The sequence below is a fragment of the Homo sapiens genome, chromosome 9 (genome assembly GCF_000001405.40).
Source record: "Homo sapiens chromosome 9, GRCh38.p14 Primary Assembly".
In the NCBI taxonomy this organism is placed as follows: domain Eukaryota; kingdom Metazoa; phylum Chordata; class Mammalia; order Primates; family Hominidae; genus Homo; species Homo sapiens.
In genome coordinates, this window is record NC_000009.12 from 98,127,593 (window position 1) to 98,154,489 (window position 26,897).

The 26,897-nt window shown below is 49.0% G+C and overlaps 1 protein-coding gene across 3 annotated transcripts in view, besides 1 other annotated feature; it reads right to left on the bottom strand.

Moving 5' to 3' along the window:
• The window catches only part of CORO2A (coronin 2A), a 71,663-nt gene that overhangs the window by 6,618 nt on the left and 38,148 nt on the right, over window positions 1–26,897 (bottom strand). For all 3 annotated transcript variants that reach the window (NM_052820.4, XM_011518986.4, NM_003389.3), the window contains exons 3-10: window positions 9,980–10,096; window positions 7,214–7,363; window positions 5,446–5,625; window positions 4,593–4,709; window positions 3,363–3,467; window positions 2,202–2,298; window positions 1,015–1,127; window positions 578–668 (exon numbers count right to left, since the gene is read on the bottom strand). In NM_052820.4, coding sequence (NP_438171.1) covers window positions 578–668; window positions 1,015–1,127; window positions 2,202–2,298; window positions 3,363–3,467; window positions 4,593–4,709; window positions 5,446–5,625; window positions 7,214–7,363; window positions 9,980–10,096 — 970 coding nt within the window. The remainder of the gene's footprint in view (window positions 1–577; window positions 669–1,014; window positions 1,128–2,201; window positions 2,299–3,362; window positions 3,468–4,592; window positions 4,710–5,445; window positions 5,626–7,213; window positions 7,364–9,979; window positions 10,097–26,897) is intronic.
• Window positions 14,533–14,582: an enhancer, noted in NCBI's record as "active region_28692". NCBI's record gives its function as "activates an Ori minimal core promoter by ATAC-STARR-seq in GM12878 lymphoblastoid cells {active_cell/tissue: GM12878}" and the evidence as "EXISTENCE:reporter gene assay evidence [ECO:0000049][PMID:35858748]".

The following is a 26,897-nucleotide window of genomic DNA, read 5'->3' on the forward strand; positions in this document are numbered from 1 at the left end:
CTTGAGGTCAAGAGTTTGAGACCAGCCTGGCCAACATGGCAAAACCCCCATCTCTACTAAAAATACGAAAAATTAGCTGGGCATGGTGGCACGTGCCTGTAGTCCCAGCTACTCAGGAGGCTGAGGCATGAGAATCACTTGAACCTGGGGGTGGGGTGGAGGTTGCAGTGAGCTGAGATTGTACCACTGCACTCCAGCCTGGGCAACAAAGCGAGACTCTGTCTCAAAAAAAAAAAAAAAAAAAAAAAAAAAAGAATTGCAGAGGTAGGGGTGGGGAACAGGGACAGGGAGTCTGGCTGAGGTGGTCCAGGCACCCCACATAGCCCCAGAGTGTAAAGAAGCTTTCCGTGGGGCAAAGTCCCTTGAGTTGGAGTTTTCTGAGCTCTTGGGTCAAGCCCCCTGACTTTCTGGACCTGTATGTGACCATGCTACCCACTGGGGACTGAAGGTCAAGGGCATGGCTTCTGAGGTCATGAGAGAAGAAAAATCCAGGCCCAACCCCTCTCAATTGCTTGGGGCCACTGGGCACGCCATGTTCCTGTCACATTTGCCTGGGCCTCTTCTCTGCCTTCCTCACCTCGATTCATCCCGCTGAGCCACTCCTGGGCCGTCAGGGAGGGCTGGGCCCCTGCTGTTGGAGGGTATATGTCCTCTTGGTAGGATTCTGACTGCAGGAGAAATCCAGACAGTGAGGAGGGTGGTAGGGTAGGCTGCTCAGATGGGAAAGGCCCTTAGACCTGGGAGTCCAGGCTCTCACCAACCCCTGCTGAATTGAGGAAACTGAGGCCCAGAGAACAAAGGGACTTGCCCGAGGTCACGCAGCAGCTCAAGAACAGAGGTGGACCGAGACCCAGGACTCCTGACGCCCACTGATGTCACACTGGCTGTGAGAAAGGCCGCTCTGTGGCTGCCCCATGAACGTGGGCTCCAGGCTCTGGTGCCCGACAGCCCTGGGTCTGTCTTCTCCAGGACAGGTTCCCCACCTGCCTCCCATGCGGTCCCGACTGCCCTTACCCGCCGGGGCACAATCATGGAGATGGGCTCGATGAGGCTTTTGGTTGTGATCAGCTTGTAGAAGCGGAAGATCTCGCAGGAGGACACGTCGAGTCCTCTCTTTGGCATGACACCTGAAGGCAGACAGGGAGGGCCAAGAGGTTCTGGCTAGGCTGGGGCCACAGTGTTAGGGCCAAAGCCAGGCTGCACACCTGGACCTGAACAGAGACCAGTCTCCTCCCAGAAAACAGCTCAGGGACAAATACCGACACTGGGCTGGGCCCTATGTTGGGAAATGGAGTTGAATTAATCAGACTCTTCACCTTCAAAGATTTAAATTATTTTAGCTGAATTTTTTTCTTTTTGACACAAGGTCTCACTCTGTTGCCCAGGCTGGAGTGCAGTGGCACAATCATAGCTCACCGCAGTCTCACACTCCTGGGCTCAAGCGATCCTCCTGCCTTAGCGTCCCAAGTAGCTGGGACCACAGGTATGCACCTCAATTTTTTTATTTATTTGTAGAGACAGGAGTCTCACTTTGTTGCCCAGGCTAGGCTCGAATTCCTAGGCTCAAGTGATCCTCCAGCTTTGGCCTCCCAAAGTGCTGGATTAGCTGAACTTTTATAGGCAGTTTGCTCTGCTTAAGGTTCCCCATCTCCATCCCCACAGCTCCTGTGACCCAAATGCTCTTAATCAAACCGCTCCAGATTCCTTTTGAGTAGGGTTAGCAGGGTGCATCTTTCTCCAGTCCCTTACTTTTAATCTAGCCATGTCTTTATGTTTAAAGTGGGTTTCTTGTAGATTACAGAAATATAGCTGTGTTTTTAATCCTCAAGCACACTTAGAAAGGAACTGAGGACTGCTTCCTAGAGGCTCTTCTAGGTCAGCCCTTTCCATCTCTGCTCTTGTGGTAACTGCTTAACCTTGACCTAGAACACATCCCTCTCTCCCCTGCTGGGCTCTGCTTCCTCTTTCAGTTCCTCCAATGTTGCCTCCTCTGAGAAGCCTTCCCTGACTTCCTCCTTTGTGCTGTTGCACACGTCAAGTACAGCCCCCACCAAGTCAGAGTGTTGCTATGCTGTCTCTCCTCCCATCTGACTCATCCCTGTCTCCCCAGACCCCGCACTGAAGCCCTGACCCTGATTCTCCCACCTCGGCCTCCCGAAGTGCTGGGATTACAGGCATGAACTTCAGTGTCCCTCACTTACCGATCCCCTTCTGTGGGTTATAGGAGCGGTACTCAGTCAGGTAGCTCAGGTGAGGCTTGTCGGCGCTCACCTCGTAGTAGCGGATGTTGCCATCTCCCTGAGGAGGAGGAGAAGGAAGAGGAGGGTGAGATTCAGAGCTGGAGCTCATCAGCTCATCAGCAACCCAGCCATGCAGCAAAGACCTGGCTTTTTTTGATGATCGGCAAACCCATCTCACTCAAGGGAACACCAGGAAACTGGGGGCCCTGTCATCAAGGCAGGAGGGTGATGAGGGGATATTCATTTTATTTTAGATTTTATCTTATTTTTTTGAGACAGGGTCTCACTTTATTGCCCAGGCTGGAGAGCAGTAGTGCAATCACAGCTCATTGCAACCTCCTGGTCTCAAGCCATCTTCCCGCCTCAGCCTCCCGAGTAGGTGGGACCACAGGTGTGTGCCACCACGCCTGGCTAATTTTTTATTTTTTCATTTTCGTAGACATGGGGTCTCACTATGCTGCCCAGGCTGGCCTTGAACTCCTGGGCTCAAGTGATTCTCCCACCTTGGCCTCCCAAAGTGCTGGAATTATAGGCATGAGCCACTGTGCTGGGCCTGGGCCCTTATTTTAATATTCAATCCTCCCCCACCATGACCCAAAGCCCACCCTTTTTCCTCTAAGACAGAAGCTCTGGGAAGACAAGTCCAAATCCCGCTCCTATCTGAGAGCAGCAGCAAAAGTCAGAACTGGGGTGGCCTCAGAGGTCATCCAGAAGGTCTTACCATGGGGAACATTTCTGGTTGTCATAATGACTTGGATGGAGGGGGAGAGATGCTGTTCTTGGCACTGGTGGGCAGGGGCCAGGGCTGCCAGACATGGGATAGTCCTACCCAGTGGAGACCTGTTCTGCCCCCAGTTTAGCAGGTGCCCCTGCTGAGAAACACCAATGGTCCCCCCACATCTGGGCCTGGAGTTGGGAAGAGACAAGGTCAAGGTGTCCAGCCAGAGCCCTGGCTCCAGGTGTTCCTAGGGAGCCAGGAGGGTGGGAGGGGTTCCTTCTCACAGGGAAAGAGTGGCCAGCGAGGCCTGCCCATCCCTGCCCTGTGTTCCCAATGGCCCCAGGCTGCTGTCTGCCGCTGTCTCAGGGGTCCAGGAGGTCACCTCCCTCCCGTGCCAAGCCGACCTTCCCCACCACGTAGAGCATGCTGGTGTCCGCGTCATAGAAGGGAAACAGCACGCCCGAGGAGCCGTCCAGGTCCTCCTCCATCAGAGGCACAGAGAGGTTATCCTGCAGGGGAAGGGGAGGCAGGGAAGGCCTGGGTCACTCCTGGGGGCCCTCAGTGGTGCTCCCGGAGATAAGAATTGCTGCCATGGTGCTCTGGGCGAGAGTGTGTGTGTCAGAGAAAAAGTGTGATTTTTTTATATGTGTGTGCGGGGGGAAGATGTCCCTGGTTCTTGAGTTCCAATGTGTGGGCTACTCTCTAGTGGAGATGACATCTTAAAGGCACTAAAATGCTGCTGCCACCTATTTTGTCAGCTTTCTGCCCTTAACAAATCACTTTTTTTTTTTTTTTGAGACAAGGTCTAACTGTCACCCAGGCTGGAGTGCAGTGGTGCGATCATAGCTCACTGCAGTCTCAAACTCTTGGGCTCAAGCGATCCTCTCGCCTCAGTCTCCCAAATAGCTGGGATTATAGATATGCACCACTGCACCCCGCTGATTTTTTGCAGAGATGGGGGTCCTGCTGTGTAGCTCAGGCTGGTCTCGAATTCGTGGCCTCAAGTGATCCTCCCGCCATGGCCTTCTGAAGTGCTGGGATTACACGCGTGTACCACCATACCTGGCCATAACAAATCACTTTTGACACACCCGATCTCATTCCAATCTTCCCCTACCTGTTTTTTAAAATTTATTTTAATAGATGAAGAAGGAGACTCAGAGAGAAAATGTGATTTGTCCAGTCTTTGAAACTCTGTCAAATGCTCCCTCAAAATACTACCGCCAGCTTGGCCCTCACCCTACCCTGCTCCACCCTCAGCTGTCCCAATGAAAGCTCCTTCTCCCCATACCCGTTAGTACCTCATTTGCTCCAGGTGCACCCTCAGCCCAGATGGCCCTCTCCTTCTCCCTTCCTCCTAGTCCTGGTCCCAGACTCAGCTACCTCCCCTCCTCTAGCCAACGGACTCCCCTGGGTCCTGACCCATCTCCCTCCTTGGGTGGCAAGATACACAGGGTCTGGGCTCGCCCGGGGCTGTCAGCATCTCCCTGCTATTCATCCCCGGATCCCCAGCACCTGGCAGTCTACGCTAAATGTGTGTGTCATAAATGGGTGTCTAAATGAATGCATGCATGAATGAATGACACTGGCTCTCAGCTGAGGGGTGATGGTGAGGGGTGGGGTGCAGCCCTCACCTGGTCCCACAAGGCCACCTGCCGGTTGTTCCATCGGGATGTGCCTGTGGACATCAGCTTCTTCAGGTTCCCCAGAAACAGCACTTTGCTGGCCCGGTGCCCTTTGTAGCTGGCCTCCTGGAGGGACACGTGCGGTCGGTATTGGAGAGACAGTAGAGGATCGGGGGCAGCTGGGGTTTCTGGCCTCCCTGCTTTGCTTATGCCACCGCTCCACCTGGGAGGCCTCCCTTTCTCACCCCAGCTCTGCCTGGAGATTCTTCCCAGGGGCACCACCTGGATCCCTCTCATCCACATGGAGTCTCTCCCCACTATCTTTGTTAAGAGTTATTTTTCTGAGCAAGAACAGAAACAAACTTCTGCCCAGCGCCCTGTTCTTGCTGAAAGAGTATTGGGCATCCCTACAGGGGCGGGCACTGTCACCTGGCCTGTCTTATCTAATCCTTGGAGAGGAAGGACTAACAGCCCATTGTTGCAAATGAGAAAACAGAGGCTCAGAGCAGGAAGCGCTTGCCCAAGGCTGCACAGTGGCTAAACAGTGGTATCGTCGGCTCTCCTGACCCCCTGGCCAGAGCTGAGGCACGCCAACAAGCTTTGGAGTCAGACCAGGTTCAGATCCCAGCTCTCCATGGGGGTGAGTCATTTCATCTCTCACGGGCCTCAGTTTTCTCATCTGCAAAATGGAAAGGACATATCCCACCTTCCAGCAATCCCGAGAGGACAGACAGGGATGCTGCCTGTGAAGGCGCAGCCCAGACGCTGACAGCATCACTGTCCTGTTCTCTGAAGCCTCTCTCTGTCCCCACTCTGCTCCTTGCTCCTCTGAGCCTGAGCCAGCCCCTGGCCCAGAACTGACCTGGAGGACGGTCCCTGCTCGGGGGTCAATAACCCGAATCTTGCGGTCTTTGCAGGTGGTGGCCAACAGGCTGCCGTTGGTGTTGAAGGACATGGAGAGGATCACATCTTGGTGACAGCTAATCGTACTCATGGGGCTTGTGATGACAGACTCCTTTGTATCCAGGTTCCAGATCATCACCTGCATGGCAGAGAGCCAGCTCTGAGCACAGGGGCCACCTTGCCCCTGGGCCTCATAGTTACATGCTGGCCAGGATGCAGTGAAACACAGTATCCCTGGGAGGGTGGCGCAGCTGGCAGCCTGGCCAAGAAGCCTCAGTGGGAGGATGATGTGCAGGCTGAAGCTGCTTGTGGCAGGAGGGGGAATCCCAGGGCCAGGCTGTCTAGTGGTGAAAGGAAAACGCCACCTGCCTCTGAGCAACAAAACATCCATGCTGGGAGGACCCCAGGGAACCAGCTAATCCAGGCGGTTTCAGTTATTAGCAGCAGTTTGCACCTCCCACAGATCAACAGGGCTGTATGTTTAGCTGCACAGGCTGTGCATGCAGAGGTCCAGGGCAATCCATTCCTATAGACTAGGACGTGACTAGTGCCCCCTGAAGTTGGGTATAGAACAACCAGCACAAATACACGCAGCAGCTCTGCAGACACCCCATACAAACAGATGAGAAAGCGCTGTGGATCGGAAGAGCGAGGGCCCAGGTTCCCTCAGTGCTCCCCACAACAATTTTAGTTATTTATTTTTGAGACAGGATTGCCCAGGCTGCAGTACAGTGGCATGATCATGGCTCACTGTAGCATCAACCTCCTGGGCTCAAGTGATCCTCCCACCTCAGCCTCCTGAGTAGCTGGGACTACTTGACGCATTTTCCCACACCTGGCTAATTTTTTCTATTTTTTTGTAGAGATGGGGTCTCACTATGTTGGCTGGTCTCAAATCCTTGGGCTCAAGTGATCCTCCCACCTCAGCCTCTCAAACTGTTGGGATTACAGGTGTGAGCCACCATGTCCGGCCCCCCACCTCCCTTTTATCCAACACAGAGGGTCCCGAGGTGTCTCTGTAAACCCCTATAGTGTCAAAAGGAAAGAACTGAAAGGCCATAGCTATGGTGCCACCAATTCCATTTGTGTACAGATTGGGAAACTGAGGCCTAGAGAAGTCAAGGCACTTTCCCAGGCTATAGTGCAGGTCAGAGACTGAGTCGGAATAGAATTGAGGTCTCCTGTACTGTGGGTCCCAATCTACAGGGCCTACTGCCTGCATGCTTGATTGTCAGTGGAGCAGGGTCGGGGGAACGATTTTCTGGGCAGTGCCATCCCATCCACTCCGGGCAGGCTATAATGAGTTGAACAGGGTTCCCCCCAAAACTCATGTCCACCTGGAACCTCAGAATGTGACCTTATTTGGAAATGGGGTCTTCGCTGCTGAAATTAGTTAAGATGAGATCATAATGGATTAGGTGGGCCCTAAATCCAATGATAGTTGCTCTCCTCTTCCTATAAGGAAGACAGGTACACAGAGAGAAGGCCGTGTGAAGACAGAAACAGAGCCTGGAGTGACGCAGCTATAGCCAAGGATGCCTGGAGCCACCAGAAGCTGGGAGAGGCATGGAAGGATTCTTCCCTAGGGCATCTGGAGGGAGCTGGCTCTCCCAACACCTTGATTTTCGATTTCTGGTCTCCAGAACTGTGACAGAATACATTTCCATTGTATTCCAGTTTGTGGGAACTTGTTGGGGCTGCCCCAGAGAAAGAATACCCAGACTCACCTTGTAGTCATAGCCAGCACTGAAGAGGATGTTGGCGGCCGTGGGGTGCCACTCCACCAGGCCTACTCTGCGCGCGTGGCCCACGAGTTCCTTCCTGTAGGCCGTGAGGTTCCTGGTCAGCAGCTGCTTGGGGATGCTCCAGATCTTAATCTGGCAGGGGAGACAGGGCCCAAGGCAGCATTAGCCAGGGCACCTTGGCACCGTCACCAGCCTAAGCCACAGATCTGGCAGTGACCAGCAGAAGGACCAAGGGAGCTCTCTCCATAGCCACCTCCCACTCAGTGGCTATGGGCATTGAGGGGCAGTGGAGGGGCAGCTGAGGGTCCTCAGACAGACAGGGGCTTCCCCAAGCTCCTCCAGCCTGAGCAGGGGCCAGCGCTGACCAGGGATGAGTCTAGGCCTCCAAATCTGCCCTTGAGAGATCTTTGTCATCCTGCTGGCCTGAGGTGGTGGGCAGGTGGCTGGGTTTCAGGCCTGTCTCCTAAGCTAGGATATCCCCAAAGTACAGTGTTCTTCTTGTCCCAAAGACCCAGGGTAGAGCCTCAAATGCCAGGATGAAGGGTTTAGGCTGCATCCTCAGGCACTAGGGAGCCGGCGAGGTCTCTGCAGCAGGGCAGGGACAAACTTCTTGCTTTGGAGGTGCACCCTGGATGGCCTGCAAGAGGAAACTCTGAAGGTCAGGAGGCTGGGCTGGATGGGGTCATGGGCCTGTATTTCATGGTGAGGGCCTGAGAAGAGGTGCTGGGACTTCCTTCCAGAGTAGTGTTGTCTGAAGATGGAGGGGGCTGCCATGGCAGAGAGTAAGCTCCCTGTCACAGAGGTATACAAATGGAGTACAAGGTGATCCTGGGATGCTGCTGACTTGATCTTCCTTATTGGTCCTGCAAGGTTCTCTGGCCCCTAGTTGATTGTATGCACTGTTTCCCTTAGAGGTATACAGGTTTTTCAGGTAGACGACTTTGCTTTCAATTCAGCAAATATTTATTTCCTGGTCATCTTGGATTTAAAACCAGGAAGCCAACCCCACGAGAGTAGTGACAGGCTCCAGATACTTCGGTCTGATGAGGGCTGTCACTGCATAGAACCCCGGGAGGAAGACACACTCTGAAGAGGTATGTTTGGAAGATGAAGGTACCACCCGCAACACTGAAGCAGAGAAGACTCCCCACTGCTAGAGGAGCAACCGTGCCCTCCAGGCCCTGAAGGCAGGGAGGAACACCCCATAAATTCACTGTGGGCATAGCTTCGGGGAGGAAAGCCCCTTCCTTCTTCAGTCCCCCAACAGTCACGTCCTGCCCTGGGGCATCGGGGAAGGGGCAGTGGCAGGCAATGAGGCTAGCAAGAGATTTATAAAGATCTTGATGGGAGCCTTCAAAGCAGTCCTGAAAAGGCAGGTATCACAAAAGTGGGGACAGTTTCAGATATTTGATATCCTGCCAGAGGCCCTATACTCCCTGGGGACAGGGCCAATTCTCACAGGACCTGATTGTCCCTTTGGTGAAATCACCTCGGCAGACACTGTCCTTTACGTTCCTCAGCATCTGCTATATGGAAACCGACACAAATCCTCTTTGAATTTTCTGCCTTCCTTTCCTGATGAACTGGTCTGCTTCTTTTGATCTAACTGAAGGTTTTGCAATACATTCTGTTGCCCATTTTGCCTTGGCTGCCAGGTAGCTCTTAGCTAAACTAGCAGCTTAGCTGCTGCAACCCTTCTTAGCCATCATTTCTAGTATTTCCTCAGTTTCTCCATCTGTGGCTGCTTCTCTTTAAAGATGTGTCACAGCACATTGGAAAGAGAATGGGCTGTGGAATCAGACAGGCCTCAGTCTGAAGTCTTGCTCTGCCTCCCACAGGCTGTGTAACATTAGGCAAATTGCTGTACCTCTCTGATCCTCAGCTTCTCCATCAGAAAAATATCCTACCTTGTGGGGTTGCTGGGGAGACTGTGAAATGATAAGTGTGATGACAGTTAGGAATACAGTGGGCTCACAATAAATGGTGACAATGACTTTTATCTTTATTTTAATCATCTGATCATATCTGTGTTTTTTAATTTTTTAATAGAGACAGGGTCTCACTATGTTGCCTAGGTTGGTCTCCAACTCCTGGCCTCAAGTGATTCTCCCACCTCAGTCTCCCAAAGTGCTGAGATTACAGGTGTGAGCCACTGAACCTGGCATATCTGTGGTTCTTGTCTTAAGCCATACCACCATATTTTAGAAGTGGGTACAAAATGAATTGTAAATAAGTAACACTGAACATTGTTGGGGCAGGGATGATAACCCTGGTACAGAACACGGGCTCAAAAAAGTGAGTGAGACTGAAGCTGCTGGAATGGTTTTAGTGTCCACATTCATCCAAGGCCCTCACAGCCTTTTATAGCTCGCTTCCTCACTATGGGATTAAGTGGAACATCTTTTCTGATCACCATAAAAATGCCCCTCATAGCCTTTTATAGCTCCCCGAAGGATGGGTTTTCCCATCGGAATATACATTTTCACTGGGCTTTATTAGCTGGGTGGAACTATTATGCCCATTTTATATGGGGGGGAACTAAGGCCCATAGAGAGGAGGGGTGGTGCCGCTAGTCCTACAGCACCAAGAATGTCTCCTCCTCTACCTTAACTTAACACCTCCCCACACAGTGACCTCACCTCCGCGATGGAGTCAGGGGCACCAGAGCCAAGAACAGGTACCATTCCACCCCAACCACCCCAATCCCACTCTTCAGGAAGGGGAAGCCCCTCAGGGGCTGACACTCACTGTGGCATCTTCAGAACAGGAGGCGATCTCAAAATCATCAAAAGGGTTCCACTTGACATCCAAAACGTTGCCTCTGTGCCCGCAGACTTTTGGGTAGTGGGGGTCCAACTTCCCTGTCTGCAAGACAGTGCCCAGGAGGGTTGGGGAGGAGGTGGATTCCACATTAGCATCTGGACAGTCACATAGTCAGTTAGCAACCAGTCAACAGGAAAACATAAGGGACAGAGCTGGGTGTGAATCTAGGCCTTACTTCTTATTCCCTGTGGGATCCTGGGGGAGTTACTTCACTTCTCTGAGCTCTGGTGTCCTCCTCAGTAAAAGGGAGCAATCACAGGTATTTCACAGGTTGGTGTGAGGATCATGGGAGAGGAGGTATGGCACAGTGCCTAGCACATGGCAGATGTTCAATAAAAGGGCATTTCCCCTCACACACTGCTGGTAGGCATGTAAAATGGTGCAGCTCTTTTGGAAAATAGTCTGGCAGTTCCTCAAAAGGTTAACCGGTTCCCACATGACCCAGCAATTCCACTCCTAGGTCTATCTCCATGGAAAATGAAAAGATAAGTCCGCAAGAAACTGTTTCACCTAATCCCAGCACTTTGGGAGGCCAAGGTGGGTGGATCACCTGAGGTCAGGAGTTCGAGACCAGCCTGGCCAACATGGTGAAACCCTGTCTCTACTAAAAATACAAAAATTAGCCGGGCGTGGTAGCATGCACCTGTAATCCCAGCTACTCAGGAGGCTGAGGTAGAACACTTGAACCTGGGAGGTGGAGGTTGCAGTGAGCTCTGATTGCGCCATTGCACTCCAGCCTGGGTGACAAGAGTGAAACTATGTCTCAAAAAAAAAAAAAAAGAAACTGGTTCACCAATGTTCACAACAATATTCTTCATAATATCAGAAAGTGGAAACAACCCAAATGCCCATCAAGTGAAGAATGGACATACAAAATGCAGTATATTCATGCAGCAGAATACTACTGTCCCTAAAAAGAGGAATGAAGTACTGGTCCCTGCTACAGCATGGATTAACCTAGAAAACACTAGAAGAAGAGGCCAGGCACAAAAGGCCACACGTTGTGTGATTCCACTTAGATGATGTTCCAGATGTGGTTTCATTGCCTGAGCACATTAATGCATCCCCCTGGTACCTGGTATCTGGAACCCTAAGTAATGCATATGAAAAATGCAGAACGGGCTGGGCGCGGTGGCTCACGACTGTAATCCCAGCACTTTGGGGGGCCGAGGCGGGTGGATCACGAGGTCAGGAGATCGAGACCATCCTGGCCAACATGGTGAAACCCTGTCTCTACTAAAATACAAAAAATTAGCCCGGCGTGGTGGTGCACGCCTGTAGTCCCAGCTACTCGGGAGGCTGAGGCAGTAGAATCGCTTGAACCCAGGAGGCAGAGGTTGCAGTGAGCCAAGATCATGCCACTGCACTACAGCCTGGCGACAGAGCAAGATTCTGTCTCAAAAAAAAAAAAAAAAAGAAAGAAAAATGCAGAACGATACATTCATGGAGACAGAAGGCAAGATTCTGGTTGCCTCAGGCTTGGGAGAAGGGGCAATAGGGGGTGACTGCTAATGAGTGAGGGGTGTCTTTTTGGAGTGACAAAATGATTTTGAAATTAGGTGGTGGTGACAGTTTATTCACAGTATATTCACAACCTTGTGAATATACTAAGATCCACTGAACTATACACCTTAAAACGGTGAATTTTCCAACATGGCAACAGGACAAAACCCCGTCTCTACAAAAAATCAAAAAATTAGGCCTGGCATGGTGGCTCACGGCTGTAATCCCAGCACTTTGGGAGGCCAAGATGGGTGGATCACCTGATGTCAGGAGTTTGAGACCAGCCTGGTCAATATGGTGAAACCCCACCTCTACTAAAAATACAAAATTAGCCGGGCGTGGTGGCACATGCCTGTAATCCAAGCTACTTGGGAGACTGAGGCAGGAGAATCACTCGAACCCAGGAGGTGGAGGTTGCGGTGAGCTGAGATTGTGCCACTGCGTTCCAGCCTGGGCAATAGAGTGAGACTCCGTCTCAAAAATAAATAAATAAATAAATAGCCAGGCATGGTGTCGCACACCTGTAGTTCCAGCTACTTGGGAGGCTGAGGTGGGAGGATTGCTTGAGCCTGGGAGGTCGAGGCTGCAGTCAGCTATGATTGTGCCACTGCACTCCAGCCTGGGCAACAGAATGGGACCCTGTCTCAAACAAAAAACAAAACACGGTGAATTTTCTGGTATGTGAATTCTACCTCAATTACATAGAAAGGGCATTTCCCTCATTTTCCCCTTTCCTAATGAGAATTCCTGTATAGGTGCTGGGAGGGACATACAGGTCCCCCAGCCCATGCCACACAGCCCTGAAGCTATTTCCAACTCCACCAAGAGACTTGGATTTCTTGGGGTCATAGAGAAACCACACCAGTTCAGTCACAGAACCTTGGACTGGCAGTGACCAATCTGCTCATTTTGCACATCACATTGCATGGCCCTGGCAGAACAGGGACCAGGACCCAGGCCCTCGACCTCCCACATCCACCATCTAGTTCCAGGTTCTTGAGCCACCCACCAGAATGCTCCCCCAGCCATTTTTATATCTAAGTGAAAGAGACAGCTGAGAAGAAAACTGGCCAACATCCATCCATCCCACAAATATTCCCGAGGTGCCCAGGGGACAGGTGCTGTTGGAGGGGCTGATTGCAAGGTGAACACTCAACATAGTCCTTGACTTTGCAGAATCAATAGTCTTGGGATTTTTTCTAGAGGGACTTTCAAGAACAGGGTGGACTCAGGGAACACCCAACCTTCTCTTCTTCCATCACCTCCCCATCTGTGTAGAGACCACTGTACTTGTTTTTTTTTTTTTTAAGAGACAGGGTCTCACTCTGTTGTCCAGGCTGGAGTGCAGTGGTGCAATCATGATTCACTGTAGCCTCGAACTCGGGGTAAGACAATCTTCCCACCTCACCCTCCCAAGTTCCAGGCTAAGAACTACAGGCATGTGTCACCAAGCTCAGCTAATTTTTAAAATTATTTGTAGAGATGGGGTCTTGCTATGTTGCCCAGGCTGGTCTTGAACTCCTGGGCTCAAACAATCTTCCCAACTTGCCCTCCTAAAGTTAGGGATTACAGGCATGGGCCACCGTGCCTGGCCTATGCATGCATTTTAGTAGCTCTGCAAACAGAGGAGGTGGTCCTGTGCCTCCCTCTGGAAATACTCTGGCTAATCCAGGTCTCTCCCCTCAGGAAAAAGTGATCAGACACCTCCGCCTAGACTGGATCCCCTACTGGAGGGGACAACGCTATAAAGGACATTATTTAACAAATCTAAACAAGAACGGTAGATTACAGTATTATCACAACATTAAACTTATATAAGTTGATAATGTACTGCAGTAATGTAAGAGAATATTTGTATTTTTAGGAAACAGTATTTAGGGATGAAGGGCTAAGATGGATGTAACTTACCCTCAAAGAGTTCTGAAAACAAAAAATTATACACACACCTACACATTCAGAGGGAGAAAGAGAACCAAAAAAAAAGGAAAGAATGTGGACTTGTGTCCTTTGTTAGTGATGTGCATGGAGGGAGGTGAAAATTTTCTCTCTTTCAAGTGGTCTCTGCCTCTTCTACAGCAGGACAGGGGAGAGAGGTGCATGCTTCCTGCCCTGTCCTGGCAGGGCGGTACCTGGAGCTAGGGTCTTAGAAGGACACTGCACCCACAGGCCCTGGCCCAGGTCTCCATGGGACCACTGACCCTTTTTTTTTTTTTTTTTTTGGACATGGAGTCTCGTCTTGTTGCTCAGGCTGGGGTGCAGCGGTGCGATCCCGGATCACTGCAACCTCCACCTCCCAGGTTCAAGCAATTCTCCCTGCCTCGGCCTCCTGAGTAGCTGGGATTACAGGTGCGTGCCACCACACCCAGCTAGTTTTTGTATTTTTTAGTAGGGACGGGGTTTTGCCATGTTGGCCAGGCTGGTCTTGAACTCCTGACCTCAGGTGATCTGCCCGCCTTGGCCTTCCAAAGTGCTGGGATTATAGGCTTGAGCCACTGCGCCCAGCTGCCAATGACCTCTTGCTTAGCCTCCAGGACATCCTGTACACTGTCCTCAAGGTGAGTTTTCGAAAATTAAAACCTGAGCATGTTGTGCACCTGCTCACATTTTGCAAGCCTCTTTTTCCTCATCTGTAAAATGTGAATGAATAATCATTTCTTCCTTGCAGGATTGTTGAGAGTTAAATGAGATACTATGCATGAAGAGCCCAACAGTCAGGTGTTACTGTAAGTGCTCAGTAACAGAAGCTACTATTATATGTATATGTATGTATATTTGTATGTCAAAACTGAGAAAAAAAAACTAAAAGGAATGAGCCAAAATGTTAATCATGGTTATATCTAGATGGTGGAATAAATGGCTGGCTTTAATATCTTTGTCTTATTTTTAGCTATGTAAGTTTTGCAATTAAAAAAGGTGTTTAAAAACAAAAATACAGATTTTCTGAAAAAATGGGTCCATCCAGGATTAGCCAAAAACTTCTGTTATAAAACTGTAGCTCTTGAAGGGCTCTAGAGACCAGGAATGGAGCCCACAGCTGCACTGTCTTATCCTGCACCTGTGGCAGGCATTGCGAATGGATCCCAGCACCCTCTCTCGGACCTCAGACTTGGGGAAATCCAGCATGGAGTAGGGACTTGCCCAGGGTCACTGCAAAGGTGAGGGGCAGAGCTGGGCTTGAGCCCAGGCCTCTGGTTCCCCAAGTGTGAGCCTGGTGCTGTACTTCCTGTGCTCTGAGGGAGCACCAGTGAGTGCTCTGTGAGTCCCTGCCCTGGCCTCCTTCCTGCACACAGCCTTTCCTTTCTCTGGGATCATTTCCTGGGTCAAAGGCCATGAGCAGTACTGTGTCTTTGGCTGTGGGGCACTGATTGCTCTCCGGGCCTTTAGACTCTGGCCCAGGGCCATGCCCCAATTTCCGCAGTGCGGTTTCCCAAGAAAAGCCAGATGAGCCAATAGTCAGGCTGCCCTCGGGCTGACGGGAGGCAAAGTGCCCAGGAGCCCCATTCAGACACACACCTCCCACCTCCCACAGACTCAGGGAAGGCGCCTTAGGGTTGGGCGTGGCTCAGAAGGGCCTAGCCCTAGACAGCTTCTCTTCCTTCTCAGCCTTCTCTTCCTTCTCAGCTGATGAGGGAAGGCTGCCCACTCACACCCCAGCCCACCCCAGCCCTCCCCTCCGCCCCACCTCCCCTGCCCTGCCCTGCCCTGCGCTGCCCTGCGCTGCCCTGCGCTGCCCTGCCCTGGGCTGGCAGATTGCTCTGCTTCTAAAAGGTTTTACGCTGAGGACCACAGGCAGGAGCGGACATTAGCCAGCCTGGTGGGCTATTGACTGAGCTGCTAAAAGCCTGTCAGGGACATTTATCATCAGGAGGCCATTTCCACCTTCTGCCCATTAGGCCAGCACTCAGCCAGAAACAGGCTTCTGATGGATGTGGTGTACAAGCTCTAAATCAGGGGAGACACGCCTGCTCCCCTCGCAGACCCCACAGAACCCTGGCTTGGGCCGCCCTGCCTGGAGAGGCATCACCTCCAAGTCTCCAAGGGGCTGCCCTGGGGCAGAGGGGGAAGACAGGACAGAAGGACCCAGGAGGAGTCAGGCGGGTGGGGGACCAGACTGGGGACTCTCTACGGCTGACCTCCATTGCCAGAAAGGGAGAGGTTGTGAGGCCACTGTCACGACCCTCAGCAGTCAAGGGAGCAGCTGTTCCTACAACAGCATCATAGTCATGGCCTCAAATGAGCATCCCAACAGCTCAGGGTGGAGACTGGGAGGCAGGGGTGGCAGGACGGGCAGAGGGAGGACACACAGTGTAGCAGAGGTGAAGTGGGCAGGCAGACTCTGGCTTCCAGGGGTGGAATCCCTGCCACATCCCTTACCATGGTGCAGCCTTGGGCAAGTGACCTCAGTTCTCTATGCCTCAGTTTCCTTATCTACGAAATGACAACAGTAGTAGCACCTCATTCACAGTAAAGCACTGAAGACGGTGCCCAGTACTTGCTAAGTACTCAGTACATTAGCCAGGAGAAGCTCATCACAGCTCATTACCATTACCCAGTTTTATTGTTGCTCAGTATGTTTCAGGGGCCAGGGGATATACTCACTGGGCAGGGGACAAACTGTTCTGCATGGGGACTCCCATCCTTTCCTACATAGCAGTGGCTCCAGGCATGCCCTCCATGAATGAACTAGTGGCTTGATTGTTTTCCTACTGGTGAATGCAGGCAGCTGGATCAGACATGTTCCCATGTCTATAAGAAATAGGTTTTTAAATGCTTCTTGGCTGGGCACAGTGGCTCATGTCTGTAATTCCAGCACTTTGGAAGTCCAAGGCAGATTACTTAAGGCCAGGAGTTCAAGAGCAGCCTGGGCAACAGGCCCCATCTCTACAAAAATTAGTCCGGTGTAGGGATGCACACCTGTGGTCCCAGCTACTCGGGAGGCTGAGGCAGGAGGATCACTTGAGCCTGGGAGGTCCAGCCTACAGTGAGCCATGATCGTGCCACTACACTCCAGCCTGGGCAACAGAGTGAGATCCTGTTTCGAAGAAAAAAAAAAAAAAAGCTTTTCTTTAGAAACCATAATCTAGGGAGTCATATATGTGCCAGGCCCAGTGCCAGCTGCGTTGCTCATAATATTTGATTTACCTCCCAACCACCCCAGGACATAGTACAAGAATTCCCCATTTACAAGTGCAGAGGCTGGGGCTCAGAGAGGTTGACAATCATGTACTAAGGACAGCAGAGCCAGGATTGGGAATGTTTCCTCTTATGGCCTGGTCTGCTCTTGCTGTCCTCACACCATGGTTATCATCATCATCATACAGGCCTTTCACTGAGGACATACTATGTGCCAGACTGCATGCAGGTGATGGCAGAGATGCGGTACTCACAATCCTGGGCTATAGGAGCCATCTACCTTATGGAGGAGGCAGGAAGGAATATACTTTGAGCTCAGAGGAGAGGCACACAAGAGACCTGGGGGATGAACCAGAGAAGGCTCCCTGGAGGAGGAGGACTTTAAATTGGGCCTTAAAGAGAGGGAGACTTTGACCAGGTCAGGTGGAGGGGAGGAATCTCAAGTCAGAAAGGCAGGGCCACAGGTAGGTTTTAAGTGGGAGGAGGCTGAAGCAGCCAGCGGGCACGGTAGGCTGGAGGACAGGGCAAGAGAGGAGGCTGAGCAAGAGGGGTGAGGCTGAGGGCATGGAGTCTACTCACCCTGCCCAGGGTGCAAGGCTGGACCCAATAGAGAGGTGGACAAATGGATAGGTGAGCCATGTCCTGACTGGAGAGGGTGAGATGTGGGACCAGGGACCGCCCAGAGGAGGCTGGGATTGAGCAGAGGGAGAGATGAGAGGAGCATTTCTTGACCCTAGGAATGGCAGCACTTCTAAAATGCACAGCACATTCCCATGATTTAGGGCAGAGCATCCTTCATCACCCCTCTCCTTATGAGCACCCAGATGAGCCTTTGGAGGGTTTACTGTAGAATCCAACATCCAGGGATGAAAGCGGTGAACCACAGCTGGTGTCCCCACTTGGTCACCTGTGGGGACAGGGAGCTCACTTCCTCCTGAGGTAATTCATCCTACTTTCAGACCTTGTGAATTTGGAGAAAATGTTTCCTACTTCGAGCCCAGTGTGGCCTCCAGGTGGCCCCTGCTTCCCCTCACTTCCCACTTCTGGTCCTGGCGTTGTCCTTTGGGGACCTATAGACACATCTGGGCCCTCTGTGGCAGGCCAACTCCTTGGATATTTGAAGACAGAGGACCCATTCCTTGAGTATGTTCTTGTCCAGGATGAACAAACCCCTAGAACTGGAAGAGACTTCCAAAATGCCAGACTAGCCCATACCCTGCCTTTCTAGAAGGGCAATTTGTATGGAGGGAACAGATATGTGCTATGGAAGGCTCTGAGGTTCCAAACAGTTGGCTAGGACAGGGCATAGAGGGCTTTGATGAGAGAGGCAGAACATTATCTGCAGGCAGCAAGGAGTCCTGGGAGGCATCTGAGCAGCGGAGTGATGTGGACACACATCGGCTTGAGAAGGGTCAGGTTGGCCTTGGTTTTTTGTTTGTTTGTTTTTTGAGACAGAGTATTGCTCTGTCGCCCAGGCTGGAGTGCAATGGTGCGATCTTGGTTTACTGCAACCTCTGTCTCCCGGGTTCAAGTGATTCTCCTGCCTCAGCCTCCCAAGTAGCTGGGACTACAGGCATGTGCCACCACGCCCAGCTGATTTTTTATTTTTGGTAGAGACAGGGTTTTGGTATGTTGGCCAGGCTAGTCTCGAATGCCTGACCTCAAGTGATCTCCTGCCTTGGCCTCCCAAAGTGCCAGGATTACAGGTGTGAGCCACCATGCTGGCTAAGGCTGGCCTTTAAGATCATGGCAGTGAAATGCTCCTCTCCACTCTCCCAGGCACCTGAAAGCCACGGTGTCCATTAGGCCCTCAGGCCCATGTCCCCTCTGGCCTGTCTACTCCCAGCAGGGTTCCAGGGCTGACCCCCAGGGGCTCTGCCTGCCCTTGCTTTCATTCCTCCCCACCCTCCACACCTCACAGCAAAGTCCACCTTCTTCACCCCCTCCCTGGAGTGACTCTGTGGCAGGCTGGGCCCCAGGCTCAGGAGCACAGTCCTGGCCTCTCCCCAGCCTTCCCCTGCTGCCTTTGTTCCCTGAGTACAGTCCCTGGTTGCCAAGGCTGCAGGTTGCGAAACTCACCTCCAGCCTCCCTCTAACCAGCTCACCCTGGGTCACAACAGGCAAGAGGGAGGGACCCTGCCTGCAGTGTCACTCCCTTTGGGACATCTGAAACTGCCTGGGGCAGCCCGGCCCCTCTGAGAAGGACTTCCTGCACGCTGTGGCAAGGCCAGACATCTCCCAATCTCAATGCAATTTATGTACTTAATTAAATCATTAGCTAGCTTGTCCCTTCCTTGTTCTCACATCACTCACCTACTGATACATCTCTGTGCCTGGCACAGAACGTAATCCTGGTAACAAGTAGGAGCTGATGCAAATCAGTGCCAAACCTCAGGGGCCTCATGTCAGTGAAGTGAGAGCAAGGCCCGAGGCCACACCCAGGTCTGGGCTCCCATTCGGGTCCTGGACACACTGCACAGGGTCCTCTGGGAAGTCATCTTCCTGAGCCTCAGCGACCTCATCTGTGCAATGGGGCAAGATCCCCTATAAATGGGGCTAATGTTCATAAGGTATCAGCATAATCACTCCAACCCTGGTTACAACATAATAAAGAGCCTCTAAGGCCTGTCTGTGCAGGTAAGTGCTATGGCATGGTGCCTGCACAGTAGTAATGGATGTGGTTACTTAATAAGAAACATATTGGCCAGGTGTGGTGGCTCATGCCTGTTATCCCAGCACTTTGGGGGGCTGAGGCAGGAGGATCCCTTGAGCCCAAGAGTTTGAGACCAGCCTGGGCAACATAGTGAGACCCCATCTCTACTTACAATAAGAAAAAATTAAAAAGAAACATCAATCAAATGCAAGATGTGGACCCCATCTGGACTTTGAGGCAAACAAACCACAAGCAAAGTGGCATGTATGAGGCAACCAGGGACCATTAACATGAATTAGGAATCAGGTGACACAAGAGTTATTATTAATGTGATCCTGGCATTATGGTTATGTCAGAAAATGTCCCTGGTTTTAGAATTGCATACTGACATGTGGTAGGGGGCGGGGGGCAGAGGTTGAAATGACAAAATGTCTAGGATTTGCTTTAAAATACTTCAGGTAAAAGGGATGAGTGAAGCAAGAGGGCAAACTTGATAATTCTAGAATCTGGGCTGAGGAAAGTTCATCATATTATTTTTATCTACTTTTGTGCTTGAGATTTTTCCATAATTATGAACCTGAGCTAGATTAGAGCCTTGCTATTGAAAATGCAATTGGCAAACAAGTAGATCGGTATCACCTGGGAGGAGGGAAGTCAGATTTAGCAAGTAAAACACAGGATGCCCAGTAAAATTCAAATTGCAGATAAACAACAAATATTTTAGCATAAGGAGGTTCCATGCAATATTTTACTTACACTAAAAATTTGTAAAAATAAATTGACAGTTTCTTATAAGGCTAAACATGCAACTACCTTATGACTCAGCAACCGCACTCCTGGCCCTTTATGCCAGAGAAATGGAGACTTACTTATATTCACCCAAAAATATGTACACAAATGTTTGTAACAGCTTAATCTGTAATAGCCCCAAACTCGAAACAACCCACTGGCTTTCAGTGAGTGAATGGTTATATAAACTGTAGTGCATCCATACCATAGAATACTATTCAGCAGTAAGAAAGGACACAGAGGCAGGAGTGGTGGCTCATGCCTGTAATCCTGGCACTTTGGGAGGCTGAGGCAAGAGGATCACTTGAGCTCAGGAGTTTGAGACCAGCCTGGGCAACATCATGAGACCTCGCCTCTATTAAAAAAAAAAAAGAAAAAAAAAAAAAGAGGCCAGGCAAGGTGGTTCATGTCTGTAATCCCAGCTCTTTGGGAGGCTGAGGCAGGCAGATTAACTGAGGTCAGGAGTTTGAGACCAGCCTGGCCAACATAGCAAAACCCCATCTCTACTGAAAATATAAAAACTAGCCAGGTGTGGTGGCATGTGCCTGTAGTCCCAGTTACTTGGGAGGCTGAGGCAGGAGAGTTGCTTGAACCCAGGAGGCGGAGGCTTCAGTGAGCCAATATCATGCCATTGCACTCCAGCCTGGGCGACAGAGCGAGACTCCATCTCAAAAAAAAAAAAAAAATAAGATAAATAAATAAATAAAAATTTAAAAAAAGAAAGAAGGAACACATAATTGAGGCCAGGTGCAGTGGCTCATACCTGTAATTCCAGAAGTTTGGGGTGGGTGGATCACTTAAGCCCAGGGGTTCAAGACCAACCTGAGCAACATAGCAAAACCTCACCTCTACATAAAAAATATACAAAAATTAGCTGGGTGTGATGGCATGCACCTGTAGTCCCAGCTATTCAGGAGGCTGCCGTAAGAGGATTGCTTGAGCCCAGGAAGTGGAGGCTTCAGGGCTGCAGTGAGATATGATCATGCCACTGCATTCCAGCCTGGGTGAAAGAGCCAGAGCTTGTCTCAAACAAAACAAAACAAAACAAACAAACAAAAAAAACAAAACACACACACACAAAACACAAAAAAAAATGATCAATACTCAATATATGCAACAACCCAGCTGAACTGCGAGAGAAATACAGTGAGTAAAAAAAGCCAAGCTGAAAAGGTTACATATTGTATGATTCCATTTATGTAACATTCCTAAAACGGGAAAAGTATAGAAATGGAGAGCAGGTTAATTGTCATCTGGGGTTAAGGAGGGAATGGGGGTGGAGGGGAACAGATCTTTGTGATGATGGAATGTTCTGTATCTTGACTGTAGTGATGCCAGTATCACAACAGTATGCTGTACTGCGTACTGTAGTCTTATAAGATGTTACCACTGGAAGAAACAGGGTAAAGGATACACAGAATTGCACTGTACTATTTCTTATAACTGCTTGTGAATCTACTATGATGTCAAAATAAAACTTTTAATTAAAAAGAAAAAAGCAAAAATAACGATTTGTTGTTTATCTGAAAGTCAAATTAAACTGGGCATCCTGTATTTTATCAGGCATCTCTGGGAGCTTGTTGGAGATGCAGATTCCCTGGCCCCACTTCAGACCCACTACATCAGAATCTGTGTTGTAACACTAAAGTATGAGAAGCTCTGATTAGTGGCTCCTGGGTGTGTTAGTCCATTTTGCATTGCTATATAGGAATATGTGAGGCTGAGTATTTACAAAGAAAAGACGTTTGTTTGGCTCACAGTTCTGCAGGAGGCAAAAGAAGCCTGGCACCAGCATCTGCTTCTGGTAAGGACTGCAGGGGAGCTTCCAATCATGCAGACAGTGAAGGGGGGATCAGGTGTGCCGCAGGCCACGGGGAGGTGTCCCAGACTGTTTTCAACAATCAGATCTCAGGTGAACTCATTATCACAGGGAGGGCATCAAGCCATTCATGAGCTGCCCCCATGACCCAAACACCTCCCATGAGGCCCCACCTCCAACACTGGGGATCACATTTCCACATGAAAATTGGAGGGGACAAGCATCCAAACTGTATCACAGCTCCTGTTGGATCTGGATTCCTAGGAGTCTGTGATGATAGCAATTAACATGTATCTTTGAGCTATTTATTATATTTCAAAAAGCCCAAAGAGAATCACACATTTTATCTAGGATCAGGCTGTGTAGGACAAGTGAGTTTCTTTTTCTCTTTCTTTTTTTTTTTTGAGAGAGTCTCGCACTGTTGCCTGGGCTGGATGGAGTGCAGTGGCGCGATCTTGACTCACTGCAACCTCCACCTCCTGGGTTCAAGCAGTTCTCCTGCCTCAGCCTCCCGAATAGTTGGGGTTACAGGTGGCTGCCACCACGCCCAACTAATTTTTCATATTTTTAGTAGAGACAGGGTTTCACCATGTTGGCCAGGCTGGTCTCAAACTCCTGACCTCGTGATCTGCCTGCCTCGGCTTCCCAAAGTGCTGAGATTGCAGGTGTTAGCCACAGCGCCTGGCTGACAAGTGAGTTTCAACCCTCCAGTGGCTTCCCACTGGACTCAGGATAGAGCCCAGACTCCTGCCTGGGCTTACGACGCCTTCACAGTCCAGGCCCTACTCCCCAATCTGACCTCACCTCCTCCCACCACTCTGTGGTCACAGCACATGTGTCCACGTGCTGACAATGCACAGACACACCAAACCCATTCCCACTCAGGGGAATGTTTGCATGTTCTATTTGTTCTGCCAGCATACTCTCCCTTTAGAGCCTCAAGTGGCTCTCGGCTCAAAGATCACCTTCCCAGGAATGCCTTCCCAGACCATCCTGCCTAAACTAGGTCCCCTCTCCCAACCCACGTCACACTCTATCACATCACACCAATTTATTTTCTTTATATCAGTTGTTAGTACCCATTTACACCGAGCAGTTCATGCAAGTTAGAAACAGTGACAGTTCTGAGAGTTTGAGTAATAAAAGGAAAACCAACTAATTATTGAATTAATTAAGAATGCAGTTTGTTTGGTGGACGTAATCTTTTACAAGCATGCAAAGCTTGGAAGAAACAAGTAGCAAAATCGGCCATCTATAGGGGGTCCTTCCCATTTTGACCTTTTTATGTCTTTCTACAAATTCCATTTTGCACTTGTCCCTCCCTAGCTCGAAACATTCTCTCTCTCTTTAGGATACAGGTCACATGCCTCACCCCAGCATTCAAGGCTCTGCTCAGCTAGCCCCAGTCCACTTCCTTAGGGTACTTCCCTTCTTCTCCTTCACAGATTATTTGTTCTGGCCAGACAGCTGCTCTCTGCATTGCTTCCTGAACATTCTATATACAGTTGCACCTCCATGCCTTTGCTTGTGCCCTTCCCTTTGCCATTTATACCCTCCCTATTTATTTGGATGAACAACCATGAGATAATTTGTGGAGTTAATGAAAATTTATGAGCAACAATTATGCACCCAACTACATTAGGAGGTACTAGCAGAAAAGCACAAAGGACTCTAATTCAAAGTAGTCAGGGCATGGTTCTAAGGAAAAAATAGGCTTGGAATATGTCCTAAAAAAAGAGAATGCTGTGGGAATTTGAGGGAGGAAGTAAAAGTGTCTATCCATGAATATAGTAAATATTTCCATCTATTGAGGTCATCTTTATTAGTCTTTTAACAATGTTCTATCATTTTCCTTCTAAGCGTTGCTTGTTTATTCCTAGGTATCCAATCTTCTTTTATTCTATTGCAAATGTTTAATTATATCATCTAAATATTCCCAGTATGTACAAATGCAATTCATTTTTGTGTTCTGATTCTTGTATCCACTACCTTCCAAATACTCTTATTTTTCTAATAATTTGACTACATGTTCTTTTGGGTTCTATGTAGACAATTATATATGTAAATAATAGCAGTTTTATTTCTTCCTTTTCCATCCTAACACTTTCAACTTTTCTTTCGCTATTTTTCTTTTTTTGAGACGGAATTTTGCTCTGTCACCCAGGCTGGAGTGCAATGGCGCCATCTCGGCTCACTGCAACCTCCGCCTCCTGGGTCCAAGCAATTCTCCTGCCTCTGGGGTTACAGGCATGCACCACCATGCCCGGCTAATTTTTTTTTTTTTTTTTTTTGAGACGGAGTTTCGCTCTGTCGCCCAGGCTGGAGTACAGTGGCGCGATCTCGACTCACTGCAAGCTCTGCCTCCCGGGTTCACGCCATTCTCCTGCCTCAGCCTCCCATGTAGCTGGGACCACAGGCGCACGCCACCATGCCCGGCTAATTTTTGTATTTTTAGTAGAGATGGGGTTTCACCATGTTGGCCAGGCTGCTCTCAAACTCCTGACCTCAGATGATCCACCTGCCTTGGCCTCCCAAAGTGCTGAGATTACAGGCATGAGCCACTGCACCCGGCCTCTTTTGCTGTTTTTTTTTTTTGTTTTTTCTTTAAGGGACATTTTTATTGCTCAATGTTTAGTAGTTAGAGGACTATTCAGGCTTTCTGTTTCTACTTGAATTGGTATTGACAAGTTACATTTTTCTAGTCTTACTGTGCAGGCCATGACCTTTTATCTTATTCCTGATTTTATTTTATTTTATTTATTTTGAGACAGGGTGTCGCTTTGTCACCTAGGCTGGAGTGCAGTGGCACGTTCATGGCTCATAGCAGCCTTGAACTCCTGGGCTCAAGGCAGCCTCCTGCCTCAGCCTTCTGAGTAGCTGGGACTACAGGCATGCTCCACTATGCCTGGTTAATTTTTGCATTTTTTGTAGAGATGGGGTTTCTCTATGTTGCTGGTCTCGAACTCCTGGGCTCAAGAGATCCACCCATCTTGGCCTCTCAAAGTGCTGGGCCCATAGGTGTGAGCCACCCTGCCTGGCCTGTAGATGCTTCTAACATTTCCCCTTTATGAATGATATTTGCACTATTTAACAAATAAGTCAAGTTAATAGCATGAATAATGTGACAAACTGACATCATGTGTCCCATGATGTAATGACCTAAAAATGATATACCACCACTCATGCAATATTCTTGCCAAAAATACATAAATGATTCTAATAATGAGGAAACAATTTGGTAAGTCCAAATTTAGAAACATTCTACTGAACAACTGACCTTTACTCCTGAAAAATGTTAATATCATGAAGTGATGAAGACTAAGAGATGACAACTAATGTGTGGTCCTGAATTGGATTCTAGATCAGAAAAAAAAGCTATTATAAAGGTCATCATTGGGACAACTGATGTAATTTGAATTTGGGTTGTATATTATAATTAGCATTGAATCAATGTTAAATTTCTAGGATGTGGTTATATAAGAGAATATTCTCGTTCTTAGAAGATACAGACCGAAGTACAGTATTTGGGGGTAAAGGGTCATCTCTATAACTTTTTCTCTTTTTTTGTTATTTTGAGACGGAGTTTTGCTCTGTCACCCAGGCTGGAGTGCAGTGGCACGATCTCAGCTCATTGCAACCCCTGCCTCCCGGGTTCAAGTGATTCTCCTGCCTCAGACTCCTGAGTAGCTGGGATTACAGGCACCCGCTACCACACCTGGCTAATTTTTTGTGTTTTTAGTAGAGACGGAGTTTCACCATGTTGGCCAGGCTGATGTCGAACTCCTGACTTCAAGTGATCTGCCCGTCTGGGCCTGCCAAGGTGCTGGGATTACAGGCGTAAGCCAGCGCATCCGGCTGATAACTTTTTTTTTTTTTTTTTAAGAGATGGGGTCTTATTCTGTCACCCAGGCTGGAGTGCAGTGGTGCTTTCATAGCTACTGCAACCTCAAATTCGTGGCCTCAAGCAATTCTCCTGCTTCAGCCTCTCGTATAGCTGGGACTACAGGTGTGTACCACTGTGCCCAGCTAACTAAAAAGCAATTTTTTAAGAGATGGGGTCTTGCTATACTGCCCAGGCTATATGTCTGTAACTTCTCTGTTTCCAAACACACACACACACACACACACACACACACACACACACACACACTCACACACACACCCCGAGAGGCAAAATGTTAAAACCGGTAAACCAGGTGAAGGTTAATCAGGAATTAGTTCAGTTTTATTTGCAAATCTTCTGTAGGCTTGAAATTGCTTCAAGATAAAAAGGTTTTAAAATGCTGTTTACTATAGGTCAGTGAAATTCTCCCTTATCCTTCATTTGCTAATTTTCTTTTTGTTGCTGCTGAGTTTTTCTCATGGCTGGGTATTGGGCTTTATCAAACACTTTTTCTCCATCTATGGACATGATCATATGGTTTTTCCTCTTTCACTTGCTAATATGATGATTTATCTTTATAGATTTACTAATATTAAATCACCTTTAGTTTCTGGAATAAATCCAACTTGGTCAGAATGTATCTTTTATTTACTGTAATTTGCTAGTAATTTGGCATCCATCTTCATGAGTGAGATTGATCAATATTTTTTTCTTTCTTATTCTGTCCTCCTTGTCTGGTTTTGGTATCAAGGTTACAGTGGCCTCACAGAATGAGGAAAGAAGTTGTTCATCTTTTTTATTTGTGGAAATGTTTGTAAAAGATTAGAATCTGTTCCTTGAAAGTTTTGTAGGATTTACCTGTAAAACCATCTAGGCCTAGAGTCTTTCTTATGTGTTTGTGTGTATATATATATATATATATATATACACAAATACATATATATATATATTTTAAATATATGTATGTAAAATATAAGAAACATGCAAAAAGTGTAAAGAATGAAAATTATCAGCTTAACAAATTACTGGAAAATAAATTACCCATAATTGCTACCCTCCCAAG